The 27,020-nt window shown below is 39.5% G+C and overlaps 1 protein-coding gene across 4 annotated transcripts in view; it reads right to left on the reverse strand.

Annotated features, from left to right (window-relative positions):
• PLGRKT (plasminogen receptor with a C-terminal lysine) overlaps window positions 1–27,020 on the reverse strand; it is an 80,407-nt gene that overhangs the window by 3,445 nt on the left and 49,942 nt on the right. For 3 of the 4 annotated variants that reach the window (XM_005251510.6, NM_018465.4, XM_011517960.3), the window contains exon 4: window positions 343–473. In XM_005251510.6, coding sequence (XP_005251567.1) covers window positions 343–473 — 131 coding nt within the window. Of the gene's footprint in view, window positions 1–342; window positions 474–20,447; window positions 20,606–27,020 lie in introns of those variants that run through there. The other variant, XM_005251512.5, reaches the window with a different exon arrangement.

The following is a 27,020-nucleotide window of genomic DNA, read 5'->3' on the forward strand; positions in this document are numbered from 1 at the left end:
CTCTGAAGCTCAGGTTCCTTGTTTTTAAAATGAGTAAGGATTGGTATCTACCACTAAGGGATTGTGGAGATAAACACATAGAGCCCTTCTTGGTGTCAAGTTGGTGCTCTCTCTCTCTAACTAATAAAGTAGAGAAAAAGACAGAAGCAACCTAGGAAACTAAATTAACTGTTACTGCCTTGCTTTCACAGAGTTACCCCCAAGGACTAAGGTTAATAGGTTACTTTGGTTACATACACTATTTGGACCAAAGTCTTATTCTGGCCAACTTCATAATAAAATGGTAATGGAAAACACAAAAAGAAGTAAATGACTGAAGAAAATGTTAAATAGCAAACATACCCAGCTGTTAAAGAGATGGCTGCAAGGCCAAAAAAAGTTCCAAAATATTTGAGGAATTCCCGAGACCACGCAATCTGCATGGCCATTTGTCTTTCCCTCATTTCACTCTGCATGATGAGCTGCCTTTCCAGCTAAGGACAAAACAAAAGACAAAGTAAAGTTACTCATCTTTGGAATCTGAACAAATAGTTAATAATCTGTTTTTCCAGCGGATTCATTCTTCAATTGCTTTAATTCATGTTTTTTCAAAAAAATCTCAACAGACTTTGACTAAAGTTCCTTTGGACAGCTCTCACCAACTGTCACCTTGGCAGTGAAATCTTCCTGGAATAAATACAGAATAAATATCAATATTCCATTTTTACACCCTGAGGTCTTGACTGCCTGTGGTCTGGAGCTTTAGCCAAGTCTCAAATAAATGTCCAGCTTTTCCTATTGGATGTGTGGAAAGATCTATGGGTCTTTAAATGTAGATACATCTTATTGGCCTTTATTTCTACTTGCATGGAAATCTGCCTTCCAAATCCATTCCAAATTGAAATTTATTTGGAGTATTTATTTGCTCCATATCATACCACAATATCATAGTAGATGGGTGTTGTTTTGAGACATCTATAGAGATTTTTCTTTGCCACATTTTTCTCGCCTCAAGTTCTTCACCACTTTGTTCAGTGCCTTTCACTGCTTTGAACAGAAGGCAGATGGCTCAGAACAGAGAAGGAAACTGAATTTCTAAATTGATTTTTAGAAAATACTCAGGAGAAGCAACTGTCTGTAAACCCAAGCCCATTATTTGAAGAGAGTTATATTCTTGACAGAGAAAAGTGTTGTTGGCATTGTTGTTGATGTTTTAATTCTAAAATCTTGGCACTACATGTCATTAGCCAAGCTAGAGGGCAATACACAGGGAGTTCATGATGCAAGGAAGAGGAGAGGAAGGACTAATAATGTGATTTAGTTTTCCCTCCATGCCCTCTTTCTACTGAGGGGAGTAGCTGGGAGGGGCGAATGATAGTTTAGATGTAAAGATGGGGCTTGGCTCCTTGGCCTATTTGGGAGGTTAAATCACCAGAAGATATGACGGAAGCCTCAGATGGGTTTGGGAATCCCTAAACAGAGAAGACTTGTGGCCTTGCTTCCTGCGGAGAATTCTGGGAGGGAGCAGCTACAGCACAGCAGAAATGGTTTCAGGGCAGACCTTGCAGAGAGCACACCTAAGAGAGGCCGCTTCCATCTCCCTCAACAGCCAAGGGGTGTGGAGGAAGTCTGCAAGGTTCTCACATCAGCTGGAGAGGGGCACAGAAGGTAACTGCGGATTGAGAGCAGGGGGACTACCAATGAGTCCAAAACCTAGAGCCAGCGGACCCCATAACAGACACTTGGGGAGTGAACATAAGCCAGTGGCTGGGTGGGGAAGGCCACTCACTGGATCCCAGAGGATCAGCAGCACCCGAGAGTGCTTTTCTGCTTTGTTTTCTGTTCAATCAACCTGGACAGCGCCACATGATGTTCCCTAAGGGCATGTGGCCATGTTCCAGGCTGGCGTAACCATCATCGCCATACTCTCAGGTGCTACTGATCCTCTGGGATCCAGTGGCCTTCCCCACTCAGCCACTGGCTTATATTCACTCCCAAGTGTGTGTTATGGGGTCCCCTGGCCCAAGGTTTTGGACTCTGGTAGGCCACCTGCTCTCAATCTTCAGCTACCTTCTCTGGCCCTCTCCAGCTGATGTGAGAACCTTGCAGACTTTCTTCACACCCCTTGGCCGCTGAGGGAGACGGAAGTGGCCTCTCTTAGGCATGCTCTCTGTGAGGTCTGCTCTGAAACCATTTATGCTCTGCAGTACCTGCTCCCTCCCAACATTCTCCACAGGAAGCAGGGCCATAATTCTCTGTCTGGGGATCCCCAGATGCATCTGGCTAGATGTGCCTTCCCTGATGCTGGTGCCACCTGAGATCACCTGGACCCAAGCCTAGGTCATACCAGGGAAAAGATGAACGGAGAAGGGGAGGAGGAAAGCTGAATTCAACTATTTTCTCCCAAAGAACCGAGTTTTAAACTAGAAGTAATTGAGTAACTTTGACTTGTCAAAATTAAATTTGCTGTCACCAAGAGAAACTGAGGTTCATTTTGAGTTCAATTAGAGTTTAAAAATAGATGTGTTTTTGCACAAGATTAGTGTGTGAAATTCATCCTTGCCACATTACTTATTTACAAAACTTACATACTGATTCATCATATCCCCCAAAGTGATGTAAATACAGCAATTAATTATTTGTGTTTTTATCAAAAGGCAGCAAACAAGAAATAGAGGAGTCCAGACTGGTTCTAAACCTTTGCTGCACATCATGAGCATCTGGGGAGATTTTCAAAGGTCTAGTAACCAGATATACCTCCCAGACCAACTAAACCAAGTGGGATCAATTAAGTCAGGATCTGGAGGTAAAATCAGGCATCCATAATTTCTAAAGGCTTCCAGATAGTTCCCGTGTGCAGCCGGGACTGAGAACCGTCACCTGAAATGAAAGACTCATAGCTCATATTTTTTTTCCCACAAAAGATCAACCTGAGATATCAACCTGAAAGAGATTACCTGGGAACTCTCAAAAGATTGTGAGCAGAGGGGCTTTCAGGGTGATGGAGTTAATCTGTATGGTACTATCGTGGTGGATACATGACATTCTGCATTTGTCAAAACTCATAAAACTTTACAGCACAGAGTGAACCTTAGTGCATACAAATTTTACAAATCAGCCAAAAGGGCAAGGGATGCACAAGATGGAATGGGGACTGTGACAAAATAATCTGACTGTGCTACAAATGTGTGGCACAACCTCAATGAAGGGTTGGGGGAAAAGAACTGATCTATCTTTGGAAAATGGTATTTTGACTAAAAACTGTAAAACTAAAGACAAAGGACTATACATAAACACTGTACTCTAGTGAGTAAAACTGTCTCTCACGAGTTACAGATTAACAATTCTGAAACTGCTTTACATGTCTACTGGAGATGAGCAACAAGTAAATTGACAGAAGATGGTGGAAGCCAGGTTTCTTATTATTAAACAGGGAGATTACAAACAAGCAAGAGGAAAAGACTAGAATGAACCATGTGGTACTGGATTAGAGCCAATGACATCCGTATGAACTCATGCTTAGTGCTTGATACAGACATAGACAAGGATGAAATTATAGATATGCATATCTATATGCATGCATAGATTAGGCATTCATGGCTTAGTGTAAGTACATACATTTTCTCAGCTCTGTCCACTGACAGGGCATAGAGGCAATAACAACCCCTTGCAAACAAGCATACCTAACACCCAGAAACACCCAGACATGATTTCTACTCTCCAAAAAAAAATAAATAAATAAACCAGGGCTCCTTAGAGAAATAGCTGGCCTAGGACTGGGGCAAGAAATGTATAAGAGGAGCCTACAGAATCTTATAGTGCCAGAAAGTCAAGAGATACTAAAATAATAATAATGATGATGGAGTATGTCAAAGGGACACAGGGGTCAATCTGAAAGAGCTCCTAATGTCCAAAGCTGGAACAATTTTATCAGCAAAATAAATAACATAGTGTTGGATTATAACCTAAAGTACAAAATAAATATCCATAAGCCTATACTAACATAAATGGAGAAGAGACAAATATCCTGTACAGAAGAATTCCAACTCATTTATATACATACTCCTCCTCCCTCTTCAAAGAAGTGGAGCTTAACTCCCACCCCTTGATCTTGGGCTTTGCTTAGTTACTTGCTCCCAATGAAAACAGTATGAAAGGGCAGCGTGAGGGATGAAGAAGCTAAAGAGACAAGAAGACTAAATGTCATGTGGCATCCTGGGTGAGATTCTGGGACAGAAAAAGAACATTAGAGACAAACAAATGAAATCTGAACGTGGGATGTATTGAATAGTAATGGATCAATGTTAGTTTCTTATTTGTGGCAAATGTGCCATGGTAATGGTAAGATGTTAACAGCAGGGCACAAAGAATGTAGGGTATTCAGGAATTCTATATGCCTTTTCTAAAAACCTAAAACTACTCTCAAATTTAAGTATATTTAAAAAACTAGTCATGAACAAATATTATATTCTGAGTCGGTTCCCTTACTGTTAAGAATAAAGGCAATCTTGTCCATCTTTCATAGATAAATTATGAAAATCAGCAAGGTTGTGTATCTGTGATAAACTATGGGCCTAGAGTGAGAAAAAATTCCATGCAGACTCTCTCCATGAGCAAAACATTCTAATGAAAGATATTTTGATCTATAATGTTAATTATCAATTAAAATGTTATTAACTATTCTAAATTTCATAAGATTATGTTTAAATTCATAGGTCTATATCTGCACACATCTTAAAAATCAAATTAATAAACTTGACTGTCAAATTTTTCAATAACCATAAAGGGATAAATGAATTAATGCAATTGTTAACTTACCAATAATTGGCATCCTTTAACTATGTGTACATTCATTTTCAACCTTCCTTCCCAATTACTGACATTAAAAACAACAAATAAAAGCAAAACAGAACATGTGCAGCAAGTTCTCTTAATGGTTGTTAACACAAATCCTAAATACAAAATTCTTTATCGTATTTTAAAAGAAATGTAGACCTTTTATAATAATAATTTTCTTATCTCTGGACCTTTTGATACTGCTCTACAGAATAATTTGAAATCAAAATGTTCCTGATTATAACTTCACACTCTGAGGATTTTACAGGCTTATCTGATGCTAGTTTAACAATTAGAGAACCACAATTAATTTCAAAGAGAGCACATAAGACGCTCCACAAACTAGGCATCGAAGGAACATATCTCAAAATAATAAGAGCCATCTATGACAAACTCACAGCCTATGACAACATCACTGAATGTGAAAAAGCTAGAAGCATTCCCCTTGAAAACTAGAACAAAACAAGGATGCCCCCTCTCACCACTGCTATTCAATGTAGTACTGGAAGTCCTAGCCAGAGCAATCAGGCAAGAGAAAGAAATAAAAGGCATCCAAATGGAAAAACAAGTCAAATAATCCCTCCTCACTGAATATGATTCTATATTAGGAAAACCTAAAGATGCTGCCAAGAGGCTCCTACCCCTAATAAATAGACCTAATAAACAACTTCAGTAAAGTTTCAAGATACAAAATCAACAAACAAAAATTAGTAGCATTTCTACACACCAATAATGGTCATGCTGAGAGCCAAATCAAGAATGCAATCCCATTTACAACAGACAGACAGATACACACACATACACACACACACACACACACACACACACACACACACACCCCTAGGAATGAAAGAAATCAGAGACAGCACAAACAAATGAAAGAACATTCCACGCTCATGAATTGGAAGAATCAATATCATTAAAATGGCCATACTGCCCAAAGTAAAATACAGATTAAGTGCTATTCCTATCAAACTACCAACATCATTCTTCACAGAACTAGAAAAAAAACTTTTCTAAAATTCATATGAAACCAAAAAAAGTCCAAATAGATAAAGCAATCCTAAGCAAAAAGAACAAAGCCAGAGGCATCACACTACCTGACTTTACACTATAGGGCTATAATAACCAAAACAGCATGGTACTAGTACAAAAGCAGAAACGTATGCCAATGGAAAAGAATAGAGAATTCATAAATAAAGCCACATACCTACAACCATCTGATCTTTAACAAAGCTGACAAAAATAAGCAACAGGGAAAGGATTCCCTATTTAATAAATGGTGCTGGGATAACTTCCTAGCTATATGCAGAAGAATGAAAATGGACCCCTACCTATCACCATATACAAAACTTAACTCAAAATGGATTAAAGACTTAAGTGGAAAACCTTAAACTATGAAAATCCTAGAATAAAACCTGAAATAAACCATTCGGGACATTGATCTTGGCAAAGAATTTATGACTAGGTCCTCAAAAGCAATGACAACAAAAACAAAAATTGACAAATGTTACCTAATTAAACTAAAGAGCTTCTGCCCAACAACAACAAAACTATCAACAGAGTAAACAATTTACAGAATGGGAGAAAATATTTGCAAATTATATATCTGACAAAGGTCTAGTATCCAGAATCTATAAGGAACTTAAACAACTCAATAAGCAAAAACCAAATAATCCCATTAAAAAGTGGGCAAAGGACATGAACAGACACTTCTCAAAAGAAGACATATGCTTGGCCAACAAGCATATGAAAAAATGTTCAACAACAATAATCAGGAAAATGTGAATCAAAACTACAATGAGATACCATCTCACACCAGTCAGAATGGCTATTAAAAAGATAAGAAATAACAGATGCTGGCAAGGCTGCAGAGAAGAGGGAATGCTTACACTGTTGGTGGGAATGTAAATTAATTCAGTCACTGTGGAAAGCAGTTTAGAGATTTCTCAAAGAACTTAAAACAGAATGACCATTTGACCCAGCAATCCCATTACTGGGTATATATCCAAAAGAAAATAAATAATTTGACAAAAAAGACGTATCTACTCATATTTTCATCGCAGCACTATTCACAATAGCAAAGACATGGAATCAACCTAGGTGCCCATCAATGGTGGATTGGCGAAAGAAAACGTGGTACATATACATCATGGAATACTATGCAGCCATAAAAAGGAATTAAATCATATCCTTTGCAGCCATATGGATGCAGCTGGAGGCCATTATCCTAAGTGAATTAACAAAGGAACAGGAAGCCAAATAACTCATGTTCTCACTTGTAAGTGGCAGCTAAGCACTGGGTAACTATAGACATAAAGATGGCAACAATAGACACCAAGGACTACTAGAAGGGGTAGAGGGGGAGGGAAGCAAGTGATGAAAAACTACCTGTTGGGTTCTATGCTCACCATTTGGGTGATGGAATCATTCGTACCCCAAACTTCAGCGCCACACATAATAAACCTGCACCCCCTGAATCTAAAACAAAAGTTGAAATTATAAAAAATAAAGATACCAAAACGGATATATAGACCAATGGAACAGAGCAGAGCCCTCAGAAATACCACCACACATCTACAACCATCTGATCTTTGACAAACCTGACAAAAACAAGCAATGGGGAAAGGATTCCCTATTCAATAAATGGTGTTGGGAAAACTGGCTAGCCATATGCAGAAAACTGAAACTGGACCCCTTCCTTATGCCTTACACAAAAATTCACTCAAGATGGATTAAAGAGTTATACGTAAGACCTAAAGCCATAAAAACCCTAGAAGAAAACCTAGGCAATACCATTCAGGACATAGGCATGGGCAAGGACTTCATGACTAAAACACCAAAAGCAATAGCAACAAAAGCCAAAATTGACAAATTGGATCTCATCAAACTAAAGAGCTTCTGCACAGCAAAAGAAACTATCATCAGAGTGAACAGACCAACTACAGAATGGGAGAAAATTTTTGCAATCTACTCCTCTCACGAAGGCTAATATCCAGAATTTACAGAGAACTTAAATTTACAAGAAAAAAAGAACTCCATCAAAAAGTGGGCGAATAGACACTTCTCAAAAGAAGACATTTATGCAGCCAACAAACATATGAAAAAATGCTCATCATCACTGGTCATTAGAGAAATGCAAATCAAAACCACAATGAGATACCATCTCATGCCAGTTAGAACGGTGATCATTAAAAAGTCAGGAAACAACAGATGGTGGAGAGGATGTGGAGAAATAGGAACGCGTTTACACTGTTGTGGGAGTGTAGATTATTAGTTCAACCATTGTGGAAGACAGTGTGGTGATTCCTCAAGGATTTAGAACCAGAAATACCATTTGACCCAGCAATCCCATTACTGGTTATATACCCAAAGGATTATAAATTACTATAAAGACACATGCACACATATGTTTATTACAGCGATGTTCACAATAGCAAAGATTTGGAACCAACCCAAATGCCCATCAATGATAGACTGGCTAAAGAAAATGTGGCACATATACACAATGGAATACTGTGTAGCCATAAAAAAAGGATGAGTTCATGTCCTTTGCAGGGACATGGATGAAGCTGGAAACCATCATTCTCAGCAAACTAACACAGGAACAGAAAACCAAACACCACATGTTCTCACTCATATGTGGGAGTTGAACAATGAGAACAAATGGACACAGGGAGGGGAACATCACACACCAGGGCCTGTCATGGGGTAGGGGGACTAGGGGAGGGATAGCGTTAGGAGAAATACCTAATGTAGATAACGTGTTGATGGGTGCAGCAAACCACCATGGCACTATGTAACAAACCTGCACATTCTGCACATGTATCCCGGAATTTAAAGTATAATAAAAAATAAAAATAAAAGTAAAAATAAAAATAAAAAACATAAAAGGAAGCTAGCATATCATAGCAGGAGGAACCACATTCTAAACACATTCATAAAATTGTTACATCAGCTCTTTCCTGTGTATTTTCATTCTTCAATTTCTTTGTTTAAAAAATATTAAGAACAGCCACAAAATTACTGACCTCAGTAATTTGTCAATCTGTTGAGTTTCCAAAGAGGCAATTATGTAAAGGTCCACAGACTATTTAATACAATTTTCCCCTTAATAAAATAGTAAAGTTATTAAATTTCATTTGGACACACAAAACATTGTATAACACAAAGGCAATGACATTATCCAAAATCATTCTTATTGCAGTTTTAATTTCATATTTACTGGAGCCTTCCCTATTTTTGAGAAATAATTAGGCCAACTCTGAGAAACAAATCAGTTTACTACTATGTTTTAGTTTCCAATGACATTTTAATTTATGCACAGTATATTCACATGACAGAAAAGTTTGGTTTTTATTTGCAAAACTTTTATTTGCCAAAAAGTTATTCTACATGTTCTACCACAAAAGGTCATGTAGACCTGTTTTTGTTTTGTTTTTATCCGAAATGAGAGTATTTTATATTTATCTATGCCTTTGTTAACTTAATAGAAACATTATTAATACCTTCTAAACCAAAAGAAAATCGATGTTTCAGGTAAAAACAAAACATAAACTAACATTGTTAAAACAAAGCAGCCATAATGAAAGCTGTGGCAAGTGGCATTTAACCTTAACTTGCTTGACGGATATGTTAAATGTTCAATGTCCAGTCTAGGAAGAATCTCAATGAGGAAATCAGTAGTAATTTGAAGTTCTTTTTGCCTTAAGAAAAAAAGTCCCCCTTTATCAATAACTTATAAAAATAATTGAATACTAACCAAGTTGTAGTATTATTCAAAGGCTTAAAAGCTGTGGTAACAGCATCTTATTATATATCTTCCAATAAAGATTACAACATAATTACATCCATTCTTACGCGTACATGTAACATCTTATTATAAACAATAAGGTTGCCATATGTAAAAATGAGAATTTCAGTTTGGCAAAAACCTGTGTTTTATGCCAAATGCCGTATTAAGAGGTAGATTCCAAAATAAATATTTAGACTTTTTCTAAAAAGATCAGAAGATGCCAGTAAGTTGAGCAGCTGACAGAACCTAGGAAAGAAACAACAAAAGACCATCCACTTCTGATATGATTTGGCTGTGTCCCCACCCAAACCTCAACTTGAATTGTATCTCCCACAATCCTCACATGTTGTGGGAGGGAACCAGGTGGAAGTAATTGAATCATGGGGGCCAGTTTTTCCCATGCTATTCTCATGACAGCGAATAACTCTCACGAGATCTGATGGGTTTATCAGGGGTTTCCGCTTTCGCTTCTTCCTCATTTTCTCTTGCCACCGCCAGGAAAGAAGTGCCTTTTGTCTCCTGCCAGGATTCTGAGACCTTCCCAGCCATGCGGAACTGTAAACCCAATTAAACCTCTTTTTCTCCCCAGTCTCAGGTGAAATCAGCAGCGTGAAAATGGACTAATACAACTTCTCAACCATTATCTAAAATTCTTGAAAGTCACAGCTCCTAACAGTGTCTGGTAAGTTATTAGCACTGTCAACTGAAGTTGAAGACAATTCCAGATTGTCTATTGAGTAAAAACAATAAGGGTGTTTTCATTTATCCTGTATTTCCTCATTTTAAAGAGTACATATTTCATAGTATGATAGCTAATATTCCACTATGTCATTCCCAACAGTGCACAAAAGACCTCTATTCTACAATACTTAGGATACCTAAGTATTATACTCTATAATAATTAGGATACCTAAGAATCTTGGAACCAAGACGTGCTGCAAAAAACAATATCAGAAAATCCTTTTTTTTTTTTTGATATGGAGTCTCGCTCTGTCTCCCAGGCTGGAGTGCAGTGGCGCGATATTGGCTCACTGCAACTTCCGCCTCTTGGGTTCGAGCAATTCTCCTGCCTCAGCCTCCCAAGTAGCTGGGACTACAGGCACACACCACCACGCCCAGCTAATTTTTGTATTTTTATAGAGATGGGGTTTCACCATGTTGGCCAGGATAGTCTCGATCTCTTGACCTCGTGATCTGCTCACCTCAGTCTCTCAAAGAAAATTCTTAAGAAATTGCAGCATGCTTGATTTTATTACAACAGGTGATGCACTAATAAAAATAATAATGTGGCTCACCATGTGCACAGTATATGCAAGTTACATATATTCATATTCTAATATGCCTAATCTTCCCCCAAACCCTATGAGGTTAGTCTATGAGTTGCAGACAATGGAATCCATCCTAAACAGTAGTTTGAACAGAACAAGATTGATTTCAGGGTATCTGGCAATTACAGAATTTCTGGGGGAGCATGGAAGTAAGTTTGCACTCTACATTATCAGGAATGATGCAGCCATTCTGGAGAAATGTTCAGCCAGAACGTGGGATTCTCCTAGGGGAACTCCACAGCTACTGCCTCCTGCCACAGGTGCTCAGGACTAAATATTGAAATGTCACCTCTGCTACTGTGCTTACAAGAGCTAATGTCGTCTCGAAGCTTTTCACTGCCCACTTCCACCTCCCAAGTCTCCTTCAGGGGTGCCTACTTGGCAGAACCAGGTCAGATGTAAAACCCAGGTGCGAGGGAGTCTGGAAATGTTCTCTGTGGCTTTCTAGCCTCTGTTGTATAGGCAGGCATGCTATTAGGGAGTTGGAATGGAATCCAACTAGTATTACCTGCCACTGAAGGTATTATCTCAGTTTACAGCTGAGGAAACTAGGGATCAGAATTTGAGTGATTTTCCCCGTGGTCACAGTTATTAAGTGACAGATCTGGAATTCAAACCCAGGCCTGCCTGCTCCAAAGCCAAAGTTTGCCGTCTACTTGCAATAATCACGTTAATATGGAAAATTGGGGTGGAATGGACAGTGTATCTGATTGCCATCTCAAAATCCTTCACCTTTCTATATAATTAGTGCAAGAATTTAAAAAAGGCACATATAATGAGCTCTAAGTTGATCTGGGGTATAGACTGACCCAAATTATTCCGTTTAAATCTCTTTGAAAGAGCCTGTATACTCATTGCCTCCAATTTCTCACCAGCATTTTATGCCCCTATCCACTGTAGTGTGTAATTTTAGCGACTACCACTCTCTGAAATTAAGCCTTCCATGGACCTTGTGACTTCCTCTTCCTTGCTTATCTAATTCCTCAGAGAACTAACTGGGAGAAACCATGACGTCCAAATAATGACCACATTCTGTAAACTCAACTTTCTCAACATTTCTTGAGGGATGGCCTTCTCTACTCTGCTGCACAAATGTGGGTCTGGGGCTCTGAACCAAGACCCTGGGAAAGACCAGGTCAAGCTTTTGGCTCTATGAGAAAATTAGGCTGAGCACAGTGGTTCATGCCTGTAATTCCAGCACTTTGGCTGGCTGAGGCAGGAGGATCGCTTGAGCCCGTAAGTTCAAGACCAGCCTGGGCAACATAGTGTGACTCTGTCTCTAGGAAAAATAAAAATTAGCTGGGCATGGTGGCACACACCTGTAGTCTTGGCTACTTGGCAGGCTGAGGTGGGAAGACCACTTGAGCCTGGCATGTCGAGGCTGCAGTGACAGAGTCTGGGTGACTAGAGCAAGGCCCTGTTTCAAAAAAGAAAAAGAAGAAAAAAAAAAGAATTGTCTATGCTTAAGGTGGGGACAGAACAGGAAGCTAAGGAAGTTCTTCTAAAAGGGCAAGTCTTGCTCCCCTCCCATAACTAAAATACAAAGGGAAAAGGCACCTCCTAAGAACAGCCAGGCATTGGAGCCTTTTCCAGAGAGGGTCCCTCTTCAAATCCCATATTTGTTCACTTTCCCCCAGAATGTCCTTCTCAGACACCTCCTTTTGGTCTTCTCAGTTCCTGATAATAGCATCACCTTCTGGGCTCTAACCACTACTTCTTGCTGATGACGTCTACATTCAAATCTCTACCTTAGAACTGTTCTTGGCTGTAGGCTTATATTTCTAACTGTCCTTTGGGATCTCCACTGGGAAATGGAGAGCAAAATCTAATTATAATATCTCTGAGTAACTCTTGAACCAAGTCTCCTATCTGCAGCCCCTACTCCAGTTCAGACCATCATTACCCATCAATAGAACCACTGAGGTGATCACTAAACTGTGTTTTCTGTTCTTGGTTTCTTCCCCCTCTAATCTACTTTTTATGCTACTGCCAGATTCCTCTCTCAAAAATGATCTGGTGTTGCTTTCCTGCTTAAAAATGTTCAGTGGTTCTTTAGCTCCTAGACAAGACATGGTCTTTAAAAATCCCATCCCAACTTAACAGTCTAGCTTCATGTCCTGCCAGGCTTTTCCTTGACCCCAGGCTTCAAGCCTCACTGAGGCCACACATGCTCACTTCTCCACACCTTTTTGCTTATGGAAAGAACACACACTTTAGAGTCACATGAAATTGGGTTCAAATTCTAGTTCTATTATGTGATTGTGGGCAAGGTCCCCAAACTTCCTGAGCTTCAGGACTCATGGTGCAGGTTATTTCCAATGCTAAATAATTTTAGGCAAGTCTTTAAGCTAGAAATTTCTCATTTAAGCCTGATTTTAATATAAAAACAAAAGTAGATTATGGAAAGTATTCATTTTTAGTTATCCATTTCTGGAAAATAATACTTCCAACATTCATATTCCTATATGATCACAAAAATAACATAGCATCTCATTATTTTAGAAAATACCATTAATTCCTCAAACTGAAAAAAAGTCATTATTTTTACATGCTATTATGTTCTGATTTGTATAAATCTAAGATTTCTACAGAAAGGTCAGCTTGACCCAGTTACAACCAGCAAATCTTAGATTTGTTACTATTTAATCCCTGTAGACACTCACCACGCCCCAACTTCAAAGTAATGCTAAATAAAAACCCAAACTGAATAGCCACAGATAAGGAATGAGAGGTCAACTTCAGAAGCATAAATATAAATGTAATTAAAATTCTATACTATAAAACTTTTCTGGTCCTTTGAATGTTTTTCCTTAATAAGAAAAGATGTACATTTTACATTATGAGTTGTTTAGTCACACTGACTTCCTTTGCTGAAACTGAAAGCCTAATTTGATAGTATTGACATGCGAGCTAAGATATGAAGTGTTGAAAACAATAGTGGTTCATTATGGGCCCCAGGTATGTGTGGGGGAGGTGGGGAGGAGCCACAGAAATGACAGGATGGTGGAAAGGAAAATGCATGAGCTTCCAGGAACAATGCAGGCATCACTGGTTTTCAGTTTGGGGGAAGACAATTAGTGTGCCCAGTATCAAATAAAACAGAAAATGAATTCCAGATAAATCAAAGCCCTAAATGTACCAAATGAAATAATAAATACATGTAAAATTTTGAAACTGCTTGTATAATCTTAGAGAGGCAAAGATGTTTTCAAGGAAGGCAGGGAAAATAAAGGAAAATATGGACATACTTCATACATTAAAAATAAAAAAATTGCCACTTTCTACCCAAGAGGATGACTATTATCCAAAATAAAGCAAACAAACACACAACAAAAACAGAAAATAACCACTGTTGGTGAGGATGTGAAGAAACCAGAACCCTTTTGCATTGCTGGCAGGAATGTAAAATGATGCAGTTGCTGTGGAAAATGGTAAGGTGATTCCTAAAACAATTAAACATAGAACTAACATATAATCCAGCAATTCCACTTCTGGGTCTATACCCAAAAGCAATGAAAGCAGGGACTTGGACAGATGCTTGTACACCTCCATTCATAGCAGCATTATTCACAACAGCCAAAAGGTAGAAGCAACCCAAGTGCATATCAACGGATGACTCGGTAAACAAAATGTACATATACACACAACAGGATATTATTCAGCCATAAAAAGGAAGGAAATTCTGACACATACAACCACATGGATGAACTTTGGAGACGTTTTGCTAAGTGAAACAAACAATCACAAAAGAACAAATTATATAATTCCACTTATACCTAGAGTAGTCAAATTAATAGAGAGAGACAGAAAGGAGAATGGTGGTTGCCAGGGACTGGAGGGAGTGGAGAGTGGGGAGTTTGTGTTTAATGGGTACAAGGTTTCATTTGGTTACGATGGAAATGTTCTGGAGATGGAGGGTGGTGATGTTTGCACAAGGCAGCACAAGGGAGAGGCGCAGTGAAGGGGCCACGTCTGGGCCTTGCAACCAGACTGTCTGCATTTGCATCCTGCCACCACCACTTATTAGCTTTGTGTCCATGGGTAGGTCCCTTAATCTCTCTGTTTCCTTATCTGTAAAATATGGGTAATAATACTAACTACCTCTGAGGTTGTTTTGAGACTTCATTATTAATGAGAATGGCATATAAAAGTAGTACAACCCTATGGCTGAATTTGGAAACAACAACATTAAAATTTAAAATGCACCTACTCTTTGATCTAGTAATTCTACTTTCCAGCAGCATCAGCACTCAGTAGAAACTGTTTTTCTCCTTTTCCTCCTTATCAACATCATCATCATCATCATCCCTATGCAGCTACATGTCCTGATGTGGAAAATTCTGTAAGGTATTGTTAAATGGAAAAAGCAAGGTACAGAAAGGGTATAGTAAGCTACCTTTTGTCATTTCTGTATATACATACACACATACATACATATAATCATATTCCAATATGCCTAACTATGTATAGACTATCTTTGAAAGACTATTCAAGAAACTAGGAATGGATGTATCTGAGGAGGTGAACCAGGTGGCTGGGGACAGGGGTAAGAGGAAGTTTTCAATATATACCTTGTTGTTCTTTTAGAATTTTGATTCATGTACACATATTAACTATTCAAAAATTTATAATTTTTATAAAGAAATAAAATCCCTTAAGCCTTCATTTCAGAATGAATCTGTACTCAGGCTGCCTGGGAAGTTAGAGATCTGTTTCCCTGTCCAATTGCAGGGCAGTGGATAAGGAGGTAATGAAATACAACAAAATATCCTGCAACCGTTACAATGACTTTCCTACATTGTGAAGGCTAGCCACAGTGCTGGAAAGTGCTTAGACACACTGTCAAGTGCAAAAAGCATAATATAAAATTCTTTTAGAGAGGATAACAAGTAAACTAAAAAAAAAAAGATAGCACAGAGAAAAAAACTGAAATATTAAACAAGGCTGTTTTGAAATAATAGTACTATGGTAATCTTTTCTTCTTTCCATATAAATGTATTATATAATCTTTTATTTATTAGTTCACTCATTATACTAAAAAATACATTAAAAAGGAAAAATGTAAGCAGGGATTACTGGGTAGTGACATAAGAGACTATTCATTTTTTTCTCCTTTGTATTTATCTATATAAAAATAAGCTAACAATATTTTTTAAAAGAATATCTCCATAATGGTGCTGGAAAGCAAGAACATTTTCAGAAATGTTGAGAAATTTCTGAAAGAGAGAAAGCAGATGGGATCAAAATGATGGTAAAACCTGTAGGAGTTTCTGTAGAAGAAACTACAACCTAAAGCAGACTCTAGGGAGGACTATTCTGCCTATAAGAATGCCGGAGAAGCTCCAAGCTTGGAAATAATTTAATACCTACCCACGTAACAACAAATGGTGCCCCTCCATTCCAATACACACAGAGGTGGCAGTGTTTGTCCCCAGCCAAATTTTCTCCAAAGTGGCAAATCTCTTGGGGGAAGCTTTTATTCTAGGGGATGGGGTCTGAAAGAGAAGAGCTGATATCGAGGCAATTCTGCACTTCGACAGCAGACAAGAAAGAAAGAAAAAATAGAAGGCAGTACCACTGAGACCTGAAGTATGACACCATGCTTCGTCCCAGAGTAAACCTTTGTTCTCTGGCAATTGTGGGGTTCTTCAGCCTGCTTCTTGCTCATCCACCCTAAAGGGAAGCTCTTGTGTTGGCACATGTTGCACATTCCAAAAGGCCCACAGACTGCACAGAAAATCCATGCCAGCTCCTCAAGATAGTCAACCTGGTTCTTCATCATACATTTGAACAGGCAACCAAGGGCTACCAGACATTTGAGGGAAACCAACAGCGTAATAGATAAGGATAAAGGTGCATAAAGAGAACATCTGGAACGGGAGATAATAAAGGTAATGCAGAACAGAAGAAAAGAATGCAGCCCAAGCGATGAGAACCTTCCTTCCCTATTCCCAGATGTATCTCTGAAGGGAGACACATGCCCCTCATGTGCCAGCATGTTTTCTCTATCTGGCTTGCAGTTTTAGCTCCTGCTGAGGGAGTCCAACAGAAACTGTGATAACACCGCACACAATATGAATGAATCTCATAATCCTAATGTTGAACAAAAGAACCCAGACACAGAAAAGGATAAACCAGAAGTAAAAAGATCAAAATTAGACAAAAAACTAGCCCATGCTCTTGGAAGTCAGGATAGTGGCTATCCTTAAGTGGGGTTAGTGACTGCAAGGGGTTGGGATGCAGCTTAAGGAATATGTTCAGTCTGTGTAAATTAATTGAGTTGTACACTTTAACATTGATAAAAGGCATATATAATTAATGAAGAAGATAGAAGAGTTAAGAATTTTTTATAAATCAGACAAAACATTAAATGACATGAAGCAAAACTGTTGGGAATACAAAAAAAAATTACAAATTATAAATAATAATGGTAGGATTTAACCATCTCTTTCAGAAATATACAGGTTAAATTGGAAAAATGTAGTGATATTAAGGATTAAGCAATTAAATCAACAAGCTTAATATGTGTGTATCTGTATAGCCAATAAATATTTTTAAATTCTTTATAAATATTTAGGGAACATTGTATTATGCCACAATAAAACATCCCAATAAATTCATGAAAGTTGAAATCACATAGGCCATATTTTTTTAACCATAGTACAGTAAAAGTATAAATAAATACAACTAGATAATGATTGCCTAGCTTTAAAACTCAAGAAAATAAACTGAACAAACTATTAGAATCAACAAGATTCTAATCAGAATCAGCAGAATGGTTGAATATATAATCAACACACAAACATTACAGATTTTCTATATGCCAAAATCCATTAATAGTTATTCACAATATTGTAAATATAATACCCAGGAAGAAATACTAATCAAAATCTGATCAGAAATTACTTTAGTGAACTTTACAAGCTCATTGTAAGATTTCCTTGGAGAGGAAAATATACAAAAAAAGAAAACTTTGAAAATTGTCTTACCTGCCAGACATATAAAGTTACTACAGAGATGTGCTGTTCAACATGGTAGCCACTAGCCATACTGAATATTTACATTAAGATTAATTAAAATTAACAATTTAGTTTCTCAGAGGCACTAGTCACATTTCCAGTGTTCAACAGCCACATGTGAGTGGATATGTGTGTGTGTGTGTGTACACAAATACATAAATATAAACTGATACTTTCAGCCTATCATATTTATATATATGATTTAACAAATAATAGTAAAGAAAATCTACAAGCCAATAAAGTTAACCCAATAGAAAAAGGGCATTTCACTGAAGAATAAATACAAATAAAAAATACATTATGAAAAATGTTGAACTTCATTTGTAGTAGAAAAATAAAATTTAAACAACAAACATCTCATTTTTGAGTCTCATATAGATAAAAATTGATACTATCCTTTGTTGGTGAGAGTGCACTCATGCACTATTTTTGGGAAAGCAGAAGAGTACAGTAGTTTTAAGGACAATTTGACAGTATCTGTGTGATAGAAAATCTTCATGCTTTTCTCCCCAATAATTTCATGTCCGGGAAGTTACCTACTAAAATATTTATGTATTTGATCAAAGAAATGCATACAAGACTATTCAATATAAACAGTATTTGTAATTGAACGAAACTGGGGACCAATTAAATGTCTACCAGTAAGAGAATGATTAAATAAATTCTGATATATTCTTGCTGTGGATGAACAATTTAAAACAAAAAGAATAGGCTGGGCGCAGTGGCTCATGCCTGTAATCCCCGCACTTTGGGAGGCCGAGGCAGGCAGATCACGAGGTCAGGAGATTGAGATCATCCTGGCTAACACGGTGAAACCCCGTCTCTACTAAAAATACAAAAAAATTAGCCAGGCGTGGTGGTGGGCACCTGTAGTCCCAGCTACTCGGGAGGCTGAGGCAGCAGAATGGTGTGAACCCAGGATGTGGAGCTTGCACAGTGAGCCGAGATTGCGCCACTGCACTCCAGCCTCGGCCAAACAGCGAGACTCTGTCTCAATTAAAAAAAAAAAAAAAAAAAGAATAAAAATAATAGCTAATATTTATCCTGTATTGTACTTATGATGTGCCAGATACTATTCTATTAACTCATTTACTCCTCATTTAATCATAAATCACAATCCTACGATTTGGATGTTACTATCATCAAATATCATTTTCTCAGTGAGGGCTTCACTGATTCCACTTTTTAAAACTCCAAGTGCTTCACCCCCTAAACACCCTTTTCCTTCCCTGTTTTACTGAACTTTTACCTTCAGATATACTATATAATTCACTTTTAAATTTTATTTTATCTTTTTCCCACTTCTAAAATGTAAGCTCCATGAGGGCAAAGTATCTTTTTCTCTTTTGTTCTCTTGCCATAACCTTGGTGCCTAGAAGAGTGCCTTGCACATAATAGATACAAAATAAATATTTTGGATTGAATGACTCATCCCCTAATATGGTTTGGCTCTGTGTCCCCACCCAAATCTCATCTCAAATTGTAATCCCTATGTATAGAGGGAGGGAGCTGGTAGGAGGTGATTGGATCATGGTGGGTGGTTCCCCCCATGCTGTTCTCATGATAGTGAGCGAGTTCTCAGAAGACCTGATGGTTTAAAAGTGTGGCACTTCCCCCTTTCTCTCTGTCTTTCCTGCCACCATGAAAGATGTGCGTTGTTTCTCCTTCACCTTCTGCCATGATTGTAAGTTTCCTGAGGCCTCCCCAGCCATGCAGAACTGTGAGTTAATTAAACCTCTTTCCTTTTTAAATTACCTAGTAACAGTATGAAAACAGACTAATACAGAAAATTGGTAGTGGGAGTTTGGAGCCAAATGTTAATAGCCAAGACAATGGGGAAAATGTCTCCAGGGCATTTCAGAGCTGTTCGTGGCAGCCCCTCCCATTACAAACCCAGGAGCCTAGGAGGGAGAAATGGTTTCACGGGCCAGGCCCAGTGCCCCACTGCTCTGTGCAGCCTTGGGACATGGTGCCCTGCATCCCAGCTGCTCCAGCTCCAGCTGTGGCTAAAAAGGGCCAAGGTACAGCTCAGGTCATTGCTTCACAGGGTGCAAGCCCCAAACCTTGACAGCTTCCACGTGGTGTTGAGCCTGTGGGTGCACAGAAGTCAAGAACTGAGCTTTGGGAACCTCCACCTCAGTTTCAGAGGATGTACAGACATGCCTGGATGTCCAGGCAAAGTTTGCATTTACAAACGTGCAGATGTGTGGCCATGAGAAAGTTACATAAAATGGGGATGTATTATTCCTTTTTCACACGGCTATAAATAACTACCTGAGACTGTAAATGCAGAGATCTAAAACACGCTTTAAAAGGGGTCACCTCTTGGGAGGAGATGAGACTGTGCTAAGAGGGTGAGCAGGTTCTTCACTTGTTGCCTCTGTGTAGTAGGATTTTATTGTTTGGAAGTTGGTCTAGAAACATGGCCAACAATTGTAGTTTTAAAAAATACATAAAGCAAAAACAACAGACTAAATTTAACTAACATACCTTCCTCACAGATCCTTAAGTTGTACCAAATCACAGAGGGACCACATCATGAGAGGAAGAGTCTGCTCCGAGACAGGGCCTCCATGCCTGAGCCAGCTCTCAAGCACAAGGCACTCCTCCCCTGGCTTGTTTACCCAGTCACAAGACTTAGCAGTTGAAAATGTGCACCCTGAAAAAAAAGTCATATTAGCCTCACAACTTTCCTGTTTTATTCTTAGAGAAATTCAGAATTATTCCTATAATAAATCGTTGGAAAATAAACTATTCATGATGACTCTCTATTCATTCCCTCACTTGCCATCCATTCATGGAGAGTTCAGGCAGTCTCCGGATGCTAAGGATGGAAGACAGCACCTGCCCTCATCGAGTCTAGTCTAGCAGAGGCAGAGAAGTATTAAAGAAGAAATTTCAATGTTGGTCATCACAGTTATGACAGGCACAATTCAGGGCATTATGAAAGTGCATGGCAGGGCTGCCAGAGCTAGTTAACCAGTCCTGAGAGGCCTCTGTGAGGAAATGACGTTGAAGCTGAAGATCTATAGGAGTTAGCCAGGTGAGGGGAGATAGGAATGAGGGGCGAGAAATGGGGAGCACTTCAGGCAGAGGGAACAGCATGGGCCAAAGCCTGGAAAGAAGAATGAGCATGGTGAATTTGAGGAAATGAAATAAATCCTACAAGGGCTACTGAAGAAAACAGGAAAGAGTCGACTGAGGTAATGGAGGAAGGAGGGCAGGCCTGGAGGAATTTGCAAGCCATGCTAAAGATGTTAGACTTCGTGGGGAGCCACAAAGTCACTGAAACAGAACAGTGACATGATCAGATTTGCATTTTAAATGCCCTCTGGCCGCCCTGTGAGGAATAGAGGGGAACAGGACTGAACACAGGTAGACCCACTAGGGAAGTGTCCACTTCAGACAGGCAGGTGCTGATGTTGCCTTGAAGTAGGATGGCACAGACAGAAAGAAGTAGATGGGCACCAAAGGACATAGAATCAGTAAGAACTGTGGGAACCTGAATGTGGGTGGAGAAGGAAGGGAAGAGTAGGGGTTGACTCCCTATAGTGGGTTAAATGGTGGCCCCTAAAAGGTAGGTCCACATCCTAACTCCAGAAACCTAAGAATGTGACCTTATTTGGAAGTCTTTGGGGGATATAATTAAGGATATTAAGATGAGATCACTTTAGATCACCCAAGTGGGCTCTAAATCCAATGACAAATGTCCTTATAAAAGACACACAGAGTAGAGAGGCCAGGTGGAGAAGGCTGTGTAAAGATGCAGGCAGAGATTGGAGCAATGCAGCCACAAGCCAAGGAACGCCTGGAGCCACTGGAAGCTGCAAAAGGCAAAGAAGGATTCTCCCCTAGAGCCTTCAGAGAGACGGTGGGCTTGCTGACACACCTCGATTCAGACTTCTGGCCTCCAGAACTGTGAAATAATCATCTTCAGTTGTTTAAAACTAGCACACTTGTTGAGGCAGCTCTAGGAAACCAATACACTCCTCAGCTGCTAGCTGGATCAGCAAGCACAGTGGTCCCCAACCTTTTTGGCACCAGGGACCAGTTTCATGGAAAACAATTTTTCCATGGACCAGGTTGACGGATGGTTTCAGGATGATTCAAGTGCATTATATTTATGGTGTACTTTATTTCTATTATTATTACATTGTAATATATAATGAAATAATTATACAACTCACCATAATGTACAATCAGTAAGAGCTCTGAGCTTGTTTTCCTTCAACTAGACGGTCCCATCTAGGGGTGATGGGAGATAGTGACAGGTCATCAGGCATTAGATTCTCATAAGGAGCATGCAACCTACATCCCTCACATGCACGGTTCACAACAGGGTTCACACTCCTATGAGAATCTAATACTGCCCTTGATCTGGCAGGAGGTGGAGCTCAGGTGGTAATGCTCACTCACTGCCGCTCATCTCCTGCTGGGCAGTCCGGTTCCTAATGGGCCAATGACCAGTACCAGTCCGTGGCCCAGGGGTTGGGGATCCTAGAGTTAGTGGATACAGGTGTGCCATTTATTGAGCCAGGGAATGGAGGAGAAGCAATTTGAAGGCCAGATGACTTCAGCTTCAGATGTGCTGAATTTGCGGGGCCTGGGAAACAGTCAGGTGTAGGCATCCATTTACATGGAGCCACTCCACTGTCACAGCGCCTGACCATTTGTGGCAGCCCTGGCTCCAAAAGGCAGTGAGATAGATGGATCTGAGACTCAGGCAGGAGGTCCACATTGGAGTTCTAGGTTTGAGAACTTCCAGCATATATCCCTAGGTTAAAGTGATGGAAGTAAAAGCCATTGTTGGGGGAGATCCCCTAGAAGTGGAAGGCCTGGGACTCTACCCTGAAGAGTGGCAAGTATGTGAGCCACTGGGAAAGGAAACTGAGAAGGAAATGAAAAACGGTCAGGGGATCAGAACAGAACAAGACAGGGGAATCTTTTAATTATTCCAGAGTTAAAAAATTATCTTTATGAAATTTCAGATAAAGTTGATAAAAATAATTCACAGTTTTTTTAGAGCTTCCATTAGTAAAGAAGAAAAAGTCAGTAGTGCATGCTATATATCATAGTTCATGCTAGACATGGAGAGGAATAAAATCTCACCATGACATTGCTATACTTTGACTGTGACTGTGTACTCAGAAGGTAAAGTCAAAATTTCATTTAAAATCTTCTTTTCATATCAATACTTAGCTACTCTGGAGATACTGCTCTTGATTAGACTGAATCATCTGTGGAAGAGAAGTCAAACTACACAGAGGTAAGATAAAGGAAGAATGACCATGTAAACATGACATGAAAAAGATCTAAGGTCATGATAGGTTAAATTGGGTCATAAGTTAGAAATTCAGAGCTACCTCTTAACTAACCAAGCAGAAGAAAAATCATCACTCCCCACACAAAAACCAGCATGAAAAGATGCACAAGAACCCAGCATAGCCCCTCACACACAGCAAGTGCCTAAATAATGTGAATTTCCTTCTTGTTTCCTAAGGTCTTTCACTGAAACTTATAAATTAAAATATAATAATTTTGATATGTGAATTCATTTTCCTCTGATATTTGGTATTGCTTACACCTTTATTTAACAAGAGCAACAGCCAAAGTGAGGGAAGATGAAGTAGAAATGAAGTCACCAAGGTGAGATGAGGTCAGATGGAGGTGGGTGGGGCCAGGGGAGGGCAGATCATGTGGGACCTTCCAGGCCATTGTAAGTGTTTTAGATTTTATTCCCAGTGATACTGAAAGCCTGTGGAAGGTTTTGAAACAGTGTGATTAATATTATTTCAACAACAGTACACATTTATGAATGAATAAATGTTCTAAATCCATCAGTATTAAAACAGTAAATAAGTATTATAAGAACTTTTTGGATTGCTTAAGCCTTCATAACTTTCCCAATGTTTGTTATTCTTGTGGCCTCTCATCTGCTTGAGTTGAAAAGGACATCTTGGTATATGTCTTTTATCCACCACACCTGGCTAATTTTTTGCATTTTTAGTAGAGACATGGTTTCACTGTGTTAGCCAGGATGGTCTCGATCTCCTGACCTCATGATCCTCCTGCCTCGTGATCCTCCTGCCTCAGCTACCGCGCCTGGCCAAGATCATTTTTTAACTCTGGAATAATTAAAAGATTCCCCTGTCTTGTTCTGTTTTGATCCCCTGACCATTTTTCATTTCCTTCTCACTTTCCTTTCCCAGTGGCTCACATACTTGCCACTCTTCAGTACCTGTGTGTTTTGGAGAAAGTAAGGAAGAACAGGGTCTGCTGTGTGAAGTCTCATGAGTAAGGAGGAACCCCCAAGACAGAGAGGATGGTGGAAAGGAAAGGAAAGCAGCCAAAATTTGTGGTCTATTTTTGAGAGGCAATTCTCCACGGATCTCCCACATCTCTGTATGCCTTTCGAGCAAAGACACTGACAGTGTTTCCTCCAGAATATATTTCCTAGGATGTTTATACAGCAAAACCCTTGGAAGACAGAGATGGTGTCTCTCTCAAGAGAAAAGGAAAGGCATGCTTATTGCCCATTAGCATTATTTTAGTAAAAGCACAGTTATGGGTCAATAAATGTTGGTTCTTTATATTTGGATTTGGATTCCTTATGTCAGACTTCATCTCATGTAATGCAATCCACTGCCATATCTAGTATCTCCTGGCCCTGATCACATAGCTTCTGTGGGACCTGAGGACAAGGAGAACAGATGCAAGAAAATGCGAATGCACTGGATGTTACCATTGATGTCAGTAAGAAGTCCTTTTTCTCTGACCCAGGAGTCATGTGTCTTCCACCAGCATCTGTGAAACTATGGCAGGCTGACTTGCTGGCCTGCATGCAGGATAAAAATCTCAGACCTTCTACAGTTGTTGACACAAATGAGAGTAAAACCAAAGCCCAGCAGTGGTCAAGAACTTAAGTACAGGTAATTCCCTGATACCTTTAGGATATTTTAGCCTCAAAGTAGTGGTTCTCAACCAGGCATGATTTTGCCTCCCAGGGGATATTTGGCAGTGTCTGGGGACACTTATGATTGTCACAATTGAAGTATGCTACTGGCATCTAGTGGGTAGAGGTCAAGGATGCTGCTGAACATCATATGATATGCAGTGGACCCCCACACACACACAACAAAACAATTTTCACTTCCAAATGTCAATAGTGTTGTGGTTGAGAAATTCTGGCCTCAATTAAAGAGGCCATATAATCAACACAGGCACTATAGAGGCCAAAGAGAAATGTGACTCTGCTCCTGCCCCAGGGGAGCTCTCAACCTCACTCCAGCCTTCATCTTTTCCTTCTGACATCTGTTTCTGTTCATCCCACCTGCTCTCTTTCCCCCACCTCCCATCACTGCTACCTGCTGTTAGTCATCCTATGTCCATCACCCATAATTATCCTCTGAGTTCATTCATTATGGGCATAAAAAGTTAGAAACCATACCACAAAATTAAGGTCACACAGGAACCCTATGACTGGGTCAGGAAAGGAAACTGCTCACCAGGTCTTGCCCAGACAACCCCTCAACTATGAAATGCCTGGGGTGTTTAAGAAACAGCAAAGTGACCCATGTGGACAGCATGGAGTGAGCAAGGGAGAAAGTGGCAGAAGACAAGGTTGGATGGGTGATGGCAAACGGACAGACTGCCAAGGGCAGAGCTCCTCAAACTTTAATGTGTGTGTGAATCACCTGGGGGATTTGCTCAAAGCAGGTTCTGATTATGTAGACCTAGGAGGGACAGGTGATTTTCTACTTCTAAGGAGCTCCAATGTCAATGCTTTTAGAAAATGGACCATATTAGAGTACAGGAGTATAGGGTCTCGTAGGCCTTTGCCAGAACTCTAGCTTTTACTCCGAAAAAGATGGAATGCTGCTGGAGGGTTTGGATCAGGAAATGTAATTTGACATTTCAACAGGACCATCTGACCTCTGTTTTAAGAATATTGAGTACCCAAGAGGAATGAACACATTTTCATTCATAGCAACAATTGCCATAATAGACTCAAACTGGAATTAATCCACATGACCATCAACAGCAGAATGGATAATTATGGTGTATTCATATAATGGGATACTATAAAACATGGAAAAAATAATGTATTACTTCTACAAGCAACAATGTAGATGAATTTCACAGATGTAATGTTGAATTAAGAAAACAGACATAATAAAGTATATACCATATAGTCCCATATATAAGGAGCGTTAAAATAGGCAAAATTAATTTATGGGGATAGAAGTCTAGAGAGTGGTGACTTTTAGCACTGAGAGAGGCGGGAGGAAGCCTCCTGCGGGGGGGCTGGGAATGATCTATCTTTTGATCTGGGTGTTAAGTACACAGGAATAAACATCTGTAGAAATCAAGCTGTACTCTTAAGATTTGTGCACATCACTATATCTATGTTATACTTTAACATAAGAAGAAAGGAAGGAGTATTGCAGATGGGCAAGGGTAACAATAGGGAGAGCAGTTAGGAGGCTATAGCACTAATCCAGGCAACAAACAGGGGTCTGGGGTAGAGTGACACCAGTGAAAATGGTGAGAAGTGGTTGGATTCTAGATATATTTGGAATTGGGAGCTGAAATGATTTTCTGATGGACTGGATATAGGTGACATGATGTGTCAAGCAGGCAGTTTGGTATAGCAGTCTGTAGTTATGGCCAAATTCTGGGTTAGAAATATTAATTTGAAGGCATCAGTTATGCGGGAGTTATTTGAAATTATGAGACTGGATGAAATGCCCCAGGAAGCGAGTATAGATGGTGAAAAGAAGACAATGGCAATCTGAGCCACAGCCACTCCAGGAATGTGTAACAGTCAGGAAGAAGAGGAGGCAAAGGAGACTGAGACAGCACAGTCAGAGAGACAGGGAGACAGGCTGCAAGTGTGGTTTCCCAGGAACAACTGAGGAATGTTTTTCAAGGAGGGAGAGATCAACTGTGTCAAAAGTTGCTGAGAAATTGGGTGAGATGAGCACTGAGATATCGCAAGCTTGTCATTCATTAGTAAACATCTAAAATTCTGCCTGTTACAGAGAAAGCACTCAATAAATATCA

Source organism: Homo sapiens, chromosome 9, assembly GCF_000001405.40.
Source record: "Homo sapiens chromosome 9, GRCh38.p14 Primary Assembly".
Taxonomy (NCBI): Eukaryota; Metazoa; Chordata; class Mammalia; order Primates; family Hominidae; genus Homo; species Homo sapiens.